This window comes from Homo sapiens, chromosome 5 (genome assembly GCF_000001405.40).
Source record: "Homo sapiens chromosome 5, GRCh38.p14 Primary Assembly".
NCBI classification, from domain to species: domain Eukaryota; kingdom Metazoa; phylum Chordata; class Mammalia; order Primates; family Hominidae; genus Homo; species Homo sapiens.
Window position 1 is genome coordinate 29527713 of NC_000005.10, and position 9142 is coordinate 29536854.

A 9142-nucleotide genomic window follows, 5' to 3' on the forward strand; every position below is an offset into this window, starting at 1 on the left:
ACCAAAAAAGAGCCCGCATTGCCAAGTCAATCCTAAGCCAAAAGAATAAAGCTGGAGGCATCACGCTACCTGATTTCAAACTATACTACCAGGCTACAGTAACCAAAACAGCATGGTACTGGTACCAAAACAGAGATATAGACCAATGGAACAGAACAGAGCTCTCAGAAAAAATGCCACATACCTACAACCATCTTATCTTTGACAAACCTGACAAAAAGAAGAAATGGGGAAAGGATTCCCTATTTAATAAATGGTGCTGGGAAAACTGGCTAGCCATATGGAGAAAGCTGAAACTGGATCCCCTCCTTATACCTTATACAAAAATTAATTCAAGATGGATTAAACACTTACATGTTAGACTTAAAACCATAAAAACTCTAGAAGAAAACCTAGGCAATACCATTCAGGACATAGGCATGGGCAAGGACTTCATGTCTAAAACACCAAAAGCAATGGCAACAAAAGACAAAATTGACAAATGGGATCTAATTAAACTAAAGAGCTTTGGCACAGCAAAAGAAACTACCATCAGAGTGCACAGGCAACCTACAGAATGGGAGGACATTTTTGCAATCTACTCATCTGACAAAGGGCTAATATCCAGAATCTACAAATAACTCAAACAAATTTACAAGAAAAAAGCAAAGAACCCCATCAAAAAGTGGGCAAAGGACATGAACAGACACTTCTCAAAAGAAGACATTTATGCAGCCAAAAGACACATGAAAAAATGCTCATCATCACTGGCTATCAGAGAAATGCAAATCAAAACCACAGTGAGATACCATCTCACACCAGTTAGAATGGCGATCATTAAAAAGTCAGGAAACAACAGGTGCTGGAGAGGATGTGGAGAAAAAGGAACACTTTTACACTGTTGTGGGGACTGTAAACTAGTTCAACCATTATGGAAGGCAGTGTGGCAATTCCTCAGGGATCTAGACCTAGAAATACCATTTGACCCAGCCATCCCATTACTAGGTATATACCCAAAGGATTATAAATCATGCTGCTATAAAGACACACGCACACATATGTTTACTGCAGCACTATTCACAATAGCAAAGACTTGGGAACCAAGCCAAATGTCCAACAATGATAAACTCGGTTAAGGAAATGTGGCACATATACACCGTGGAATACTATGCAGCCATAAAAAATGATGAGTTCATGTCCTTTGTCGGGACATGTAAGAAGCTGGAAACCATCATTCTCAGCAAACTACCACAAGGACAAAAAACCAAACACCACATGTTCTCAGTCATAGGTGGGAATTGAACAATGAGAACACATGGACACAGGAAGGGGAACATCACACATCGGGGACTGTTGTGGGGTTGGGGGAGGGGGGAGGAATAGCATTAGGAGATATACCTAATGTTAAATGACGAGTTAATGGGTGCAGCACACCAACATGGCACATGTATACATATGTAACTAACCTGCACATTGTGCACATTTACCCTAGAACTTAAAGTATAATAATAAACAAAAGAATAAAATGTAACACAAAAAATAAAATTTTTAAAAATCAGCTATTTCACAGATGATGAATCCCTACCATTGGCTATCAGTAAATTGGACACCTCAGATAAAATAATTAGCAAACTTGTAAACAGGACAACAGAAAATATAGGAATTGAAACAAACAAACAAACAAAAAGATTGGAGGAAAAAAACATCAAACAAAAATTAGGACAGAGCATCTGAGAACTGAACGGCAATATAAATGACCTAGCATACATATATATGAACTCCCAGAAAATGATAAGAAGAATGAGTCAAAGAAAACAGTTGAATAGATTATTATTGACAATTTTTAAAACATACAGACATCAAACAAAAACAATTCCAAAAATCTGGGAGAACAACAAATAGCATGAATACAAAGGAAAAAATGGATCAAGATGGATCATGGTCAAGCATCTGAAAACCAAGCTTATAGAGAAATTAGTTTTGGCAACCTGGGGTTGGAGGTGAGGAAAAAGAGGAATTACATAAGGAGAAAGGAAGAATAAAATAACAGTTGACTTCTATAAAAAATTATCCAATTCAGCAGATGATGGAAGGACATTTTTCAGGACCTAAAAGAAAAACGATCCATTCACAGACACAGATAAATGTAAAACATATTTTTTTTTTTCTAAGAAGAACTGAGAAAGCCATTTCCGGGAGCACTGCAATACAAAATTAAAAAGTAGAATTAACTTTTTAACTAGAAAATATTTTAGTAACAGAAGGAAATTTGTATCTAAATTAAAAAAATTTAACATCAGAATTGGTAAAAATGAAGATAATAAAGTTATCTCTTTATTGTAAAATTGTTCAAGGTAAATTACTATCTAAAGCAAAACTAGTAACAATATATTATTGGTCTTCTAAGTATGTATAAATTTTGTGATAATCACAGACCTTAAGAATTGGAGAAAGACTGAAAGTATATTGTTGTATGATTTAGACACGATTTTGACGTGGTATAATAATAATTGGAGGTCTATAGAATTAAACATGTTGTATGATCCATGGCAACCACCAAACATTTAAATTTAAAATGTATAATAGGACAAGAATGAAGATAAAAAATCAAAATAATAGAGTGAGGAAGCATAAAAGAGGGAAAATTATTGCAAAAAGAAACAACTGTATTATGTCTGTGAGAAATTCCTTTGAATGAAATATATAGATAGGTTAGATGTATAAATAAGAAAAATACAGTATGTAAATGCCAAAATTAACAAGACTACTGTGGATATATTGATTTCAGAAAAGCTATATACCAGAATGAGTAATATTCCTGGGCTAAACTGAGATCTTACATAATAATAAATTATCCCTTTCATGAAGTATATCTAACATTCAAAAATATGTATGTACCTAATATGAAAGCATTGAAATATTTAAAGTAAAAATGAGTAAAAAATAGAGTATATACATTTAAAAGTATAAGTGGAAACTTCAGTATTTCTATCTAATTTGTTTAAAAATTAAACAAAAAACAATATATAGTACAAATTCCAAAAATGACTTGGCCAAACTTACATCTTGTATTAGGCTGTTATTGCTTCACTATAAAGAAATACCTGGCCAGGCACAGTGGCTCATGCCTGTAATCCCAGTACTTTGGGGGCTGAAGCAGGAGGATCACTTGAAGCTAGGAGTTCAAGACAAGCCAGGCCAACACAACGAAACCCCGTCTCTACTAAAACTAAAAAAAATTAGCTAAGCCGGGTGGTGCACACCTGTAATCCCAGCTACTCAGGAGGCTGAGGCATGAGAAGTGCTTGACCCAAGGAGGCAGAGGTTGCAGTGAGCAGAGATAGCTCCACTGCATTCTGGCCTGAGTGACAGAGTGAGACTCTATTAAAAAAAAATAAGTAAATGAAATAACCTGAGACCAGGTAATTTATAAAGAAAAAAAGTTTAATTGGCTCACTCGTGGTTCTGCAGGCTCTACAGGAAGTGTGGTACCAACACCTACTTTTGGAGAGGGCCTCAGGGAGCTTACAGTCATAACAGAAGGTGACAGGGAGGCAGTATGTCACATGACAAGAGTGGGCACAAGAGAGCAAGTGGGGAGGTGGCTACACACTTTTAAACAACCAGGTCTCACTCACTAGGACAAAGAACTCACTCACTAGGACAGCACCAAGCTATTCATGAGTGATCCACCCTCATGATCCAAACACCTCCCACCAAAGCCCACCTCCAACACTGGAGATTACATTTCAATATGAGATGTGAAACTTCGCACCAAAATAAACTATACTTTGAGCCACAAAACAAATCTCAAAAATATTTCACAGGATTGAAATTATATCTCCAGGTGGATACTGAAAAAAAAAAGATTGAAATTATATAGTGTTCTTTAAGAATATTCAAAATTAAACTTGAAATCCAAAACAACATACTCAAAAGCTAAACTACGTATTTTAAAATGGCCATGGGAATTTAGAAAATCTTTATAATTTTATGAAACTGAAAACACACACAATATTGTAGGATGCTGCTGAAGCAGTTCATAGTGTAAAATTAATAATATAAAATTCGCATAAAAAGGAAATCTAAACTAAATGTCCTACACTTCAACCTTCTGAAAGTAGAAAATAAATAGCAAATTAATCTCAAAGGAAGTGAATGAGAAGGCAATAATTTTAAAAATAGGGCCAGGCAGGGTGGTTCAGGCCTGTAATCCCAGCACCTTGGGAGGCCAATGTGGGCGGATCACAAGGTCAGGAGATTGAGACCATCCTGGCTAACATGGTGAAACGAAAAATACTAAATTCTACTAAAAATACAAAAATTAGCCAGGTGTGGTGGTGCATGCCTGTAGTCTCAGCTACTCAGAAGGCTGAGGCAGGAGAATCACTTGAACCCGAGAGGTTGCAGTGAGCTGAGATTGCACCACTGCACTCCAGCCTGGCTACAGAGCGAGACTCTGTCTCGAAAAAAAAAAAAAAAATTAGAAAAGAGTGATATATAAAACAAAACCAATTAAGAAAAAATCAAATACAGCTCAAAAGAAGGTTTATTAAAAAGATTATAGCATTAATAAAACCCTAACAAGATTAAAATAATGAATAAATGTCACACAATTGTTTTCTTTTTCATTTTAGATTTAGGGTACATGTGTGGGCTTGCTATATTAATATATTACATAACGCTGAGGTATGGGATTCAGTTGAATCCATCAACCAAATGGTGAACCTAGTACATAATAGGTAGTTTTCAACTCTTATCCCTCTCTTTCCTTCCCCAACCCTTTGACTTCTCTAGTGTCTATTGTTCCCATATATATATCCAAGTGTACAAAATGTTTAGTTCCCGCTTATAAGTGAGAACCTGTGGTATTTGTTTTTCTGTTTCTGTATTAATTCATTTCGGATAATGGCCTTCAGCTGCATTCATGTTGCTGCAAGATACATGATTTCATTTTTTATGACTACATAGTATTCCATGTGTATATAAACTCCGTTTCATTATACACTATACCATCGATAGGTACCTAGATTGATTCTATGTCTTTGCTATTGTGAATCATGGTGAGATAAACATGTGAGCGCAGATGTTCTTTTAGTAGAACAATTTATTTTACTTTGGGTATATACCCAGTAATAAGATTATTGGGTCAAGTGTTAAGTATGTTTTTACTTCTTTGAGAAATCTCCAAACTGTTTTCCACAAGGGCTGAACTGATTTCCATTCCCACCAACATGGTATGAGCTCTCTCTTTTATCTATTATAATTATTATTTTTTTACTTTTAATAGCCATTCTGACTAGTGTGAGATGATATCTCATTGTGGTTTTAAGTTGCATCTTTTCATGTTTGTTGACTGCTTGTGTGTGCTCTTTTGAGCAGTTTCTGTGTTCTTTGCTTATTTTTTTTGTTTTTGTTTTTCTTCTTGATACGTTTATGTTCCTTATAGATACTAGATATTAGTCCTTTGTCAGGTGTATACCTTGCAAATATTTTGTCCCATTACATAGGTTGTCTGTTTACTGTGTTGATAGTTTATTTTGCTGTGAAGAAGCTCTTTAGTATTGACAAGATCTCACTTGTCAATTTTTGCTCTTGTTGCGATTGCTTTTGAAATCTTCATTATGAATTCTTTTCAGGTTCCTATGTCCAGAATGGTATTACTTATATTGTCTTTCAGGATTTTTATAGTTTCAGGTTTTACCTTTAAGTCTTTAGTTCATCTTGAGTTGATTTTTGTATATAGTGAAAGGTAGGGGTACACCTTCATTCTTCTGATTATGCCTAGTTAGATATCTCAGCACTATTTATTGAATAGAGTGTCCTTTCTCCAGTTGTTTTTTTGTTGTTGTTGTTGGCTTTATCAAAGACTAGATTTTTGTAGGTGTGTGGATTTATTTCTTGGTTGGCTATTCATCGCTAACCTCAACGATGAACAAGATATCCGAAAAATAGGAGGATTATTCAAGACTTTACCCTTCACTTCCTCCATTCTATTTCATTGTTCTACTTTTGCACTAACACCTGCTGTTTTGGCTTATGTAGCCTTGTAGCATAGCTTGAAGTCAAGTATTGTGATGCCATTTATTCTTTTTTGCTTAGGATTACTTTAGCTATTCAGGCTTTTATGGTCCCCTATAAATTTTAGAATAGTCTTTTCTAATTATACATTGGTATTTTGATAAGAATTTTAATGAATCTGTAGATTGCATTAGGGCAGTATGGACATTTTTAACAATACTGATTCTTCCAGTCAATGAGTATGGTATATGGTATTTTTTTTTCCAATTTTTATGTGTCATCTATGATTTCTTTTAGCAATGTTTTGTGGTTCTCCTCATAGAGATCTTTACCTCCTTTGTTAGATATATTCATAGGTATTTTTTGTGGTTATTGTAAATTAGATTATATTTTTGATTTAGTTCTCACCTTGAACATTATTGTTGTACAGAAATGCCAGTTTTTTGTACATTAATTTACTATTCTGAGACTTTGCCAAAGTCATTTATCAGGTTTAGGTGTCTTTGGGTGGAATCTTTAGGGTTTTCTAGATATATAATTTTATCTTCAGTGAGAAAAGATAATTTGACTTTCTCTTTTCAAATCTGGATGCCCTTTGTTTCTTTCTCTTGCCTAATTGTACTGGCTAGGACTTCCAGTACTATGTTGAATAGGAGTGGTAAGAATGGACATCTTCATCTTGTTCCAGTTCTTAGGGAGAATGCTTCCAACTATTGCCCATTCAATATGATACTGGCCATGGGTTTGTCAATTACTTATGTGAGTAGTAGATGACTCTTATTTTGAGGTATATTTCTTTGATGGCTTGTTTGTTGAAGTTTTCTTTAATCATGAAGGAATGTTGGGTTTTATCAAATGCTTTTTCTGGCCCAATGAGATGATTACACAGTTTTGTTTTAGTTCTATTAATGTGATGAATTTATTTTACTTTTATATTTATTGATTTCTGTATGTTGAATCATACTTGCATCTCAGAAATAAAGTCTACTTTATTGTGGTCAATTAACTTTTTGATTCAATTTACTAGAACTTTGTGAGGATTTCTGTTTCTATGCTCATCAGAGATATTGGCCTGTAGTTTTCTTTTTTTGTGTCTTTCCCAGATTTGGGTATTAGGATAATACTGCTTTTGTAGAATGGGTTAGAAAGAAATCTTTCATCCTCAGTTTTTTTTTTGGAATAGTTTCAGTGTGTTTGGTACTAGCACGTCTTTGTACATCTGGTAGTACTTGGCTGTGAATCCATCTGGTCTAGTGCTCCTTTTGCTTGGGAGATACTTATCAGTGATTTAATTTTGTAAGTCATTATTGGTCTGTTCAAAGTTTCTATTACTTCCTAATTTAATACTGGGAGGGTGTATGTTTCTTATAATTTATCTATTTCTTCTAGGTTTTCTACTTTGTGCACATATTAGTGTCTGAGTATCATTTGTATTTCTGTGAGGTCATTTCTAATGCCACCTTTGTCATTTCTGATTGTACTTATTTGGATTTTCTCTTTTTTTGTTGTTAATCTAGCTGATGGTCTATTAATCTTGTTTATCCTTTCAAAAAACCATGTTGTCATTTAAGATATCCTATGAATGGTTTTCTCGTTCTCAATTTTATCTAGTTCTGCTCTGAAATTAATTATTTATTTTCTTCTTCTAGATTTGGGTTTAATTTGTTCTTGTTTTTATAATTCTATTAGATGCAACATTTGGTTGGTAACTTGATATATTTCTATCTTCCTTATGCAGCTTAGCACTCTAAACTTTCCTCTTAACACTGCTTTTGCACATCCCAGAAGTTTTGATATATAGTGTCATTATTTTCATTTGTTTCAAAAATTTTTGAATTTATGCCATCATATTTTATTGCTGTTGTTGTTTAGCAAAAGTTATTTTGTGGCAAGTTGTTTAGTTTCCATGTATTTGCGTATTTTTTAGAGTTCTTGATATTGATTTCTATTTTTATTTCACTGTGGTCTGAGAAGATGCTTGATATTATTTCAATTTTTAAAAAATTTACTGAGGTTTGCTTTATGACCAAACATGGTCATTCTTAGAGTTTGTTCCATGTGTAGATGAGAAGTATATATATTCTGTGGTTGTTGGGTGAAATATTGTACAGATGTTTATTAGGTCCAATTGGTAATGTGTCAAATTTAAGTCTAAAATTTCTTTGTTAATTTTCTATCTAGATGATATATCTCATGCTCTCTGGTGTTGAAGTCTCCCACTTTTATTGTTTGGCTGTCTACGTATTTTTTTCTCTTTTTAGGCCTAGTAGTAATTGGCGTATAAATCTAGTGCTCCAGTGTTGGCTAGGTTTATATTTAAGACAGGTTTTCTTGTTGAATTGAATCCTTTCTCATTATACAATGCTTTTGTTGTTGGTTTAAAGTCTGTTTTACCTAATACAAGAATAGTGAGTCCTGTTTTGTTTTGTTCTGTTTTCATTTACATTTCTTTCTATTTTTTTTTTTTTTTGTACTTTAAATTCTAGGGTACATGTGCACAACGTGCAGGTTTATTACATAGGTATACATGTGCCATGTTGGTTTGCTGCACCCGTCAACTCTTCATTTACATTAGGTATTTCTCCTAATGCTATCTTACCCGAGCCCCCCACCTCCCAACAGGCCCTGGTGTGTGATATTCCCCGCCCTGTGTCCAAGTGTTCTCATTCTTCAATTCCCACTTATGAGTGAGAACATGTGGTGTTTGGTTTTCTGTCCTTGTGATAGTTTGCTGAGAATGATGGTTTCCAGCTTCTTCCATGTCCCTGCAAAGGATATGAAATCATCCTTTTTATGGCTGCATAGTATTCCATGGTATATATGTGCCACATTTTCTTAATCCATTTTATAATTGATGGACATTTGGGGTGGTGCCAAGTCTTTGCTATTGTGAATAGTGCCACAATAAACATACGTGTGCATGTGTCTTTATAGTAGCATGATTTATAATCCTTTGGGCATATACCCAGCAATGGAATTGCTGGGTCAAATGGTATTTCTAGTTCTAGATCCTTGAGGAATCATCACACTGTCTTCCACAATGGTTGAAGTAATTTACACTCTCACCAATAGTGTAAAAGTGTTCCTATTTCTCCACATCCTCTCCAGCATCTGTTGTTTTCTGACTTTTTAATGATCGCCA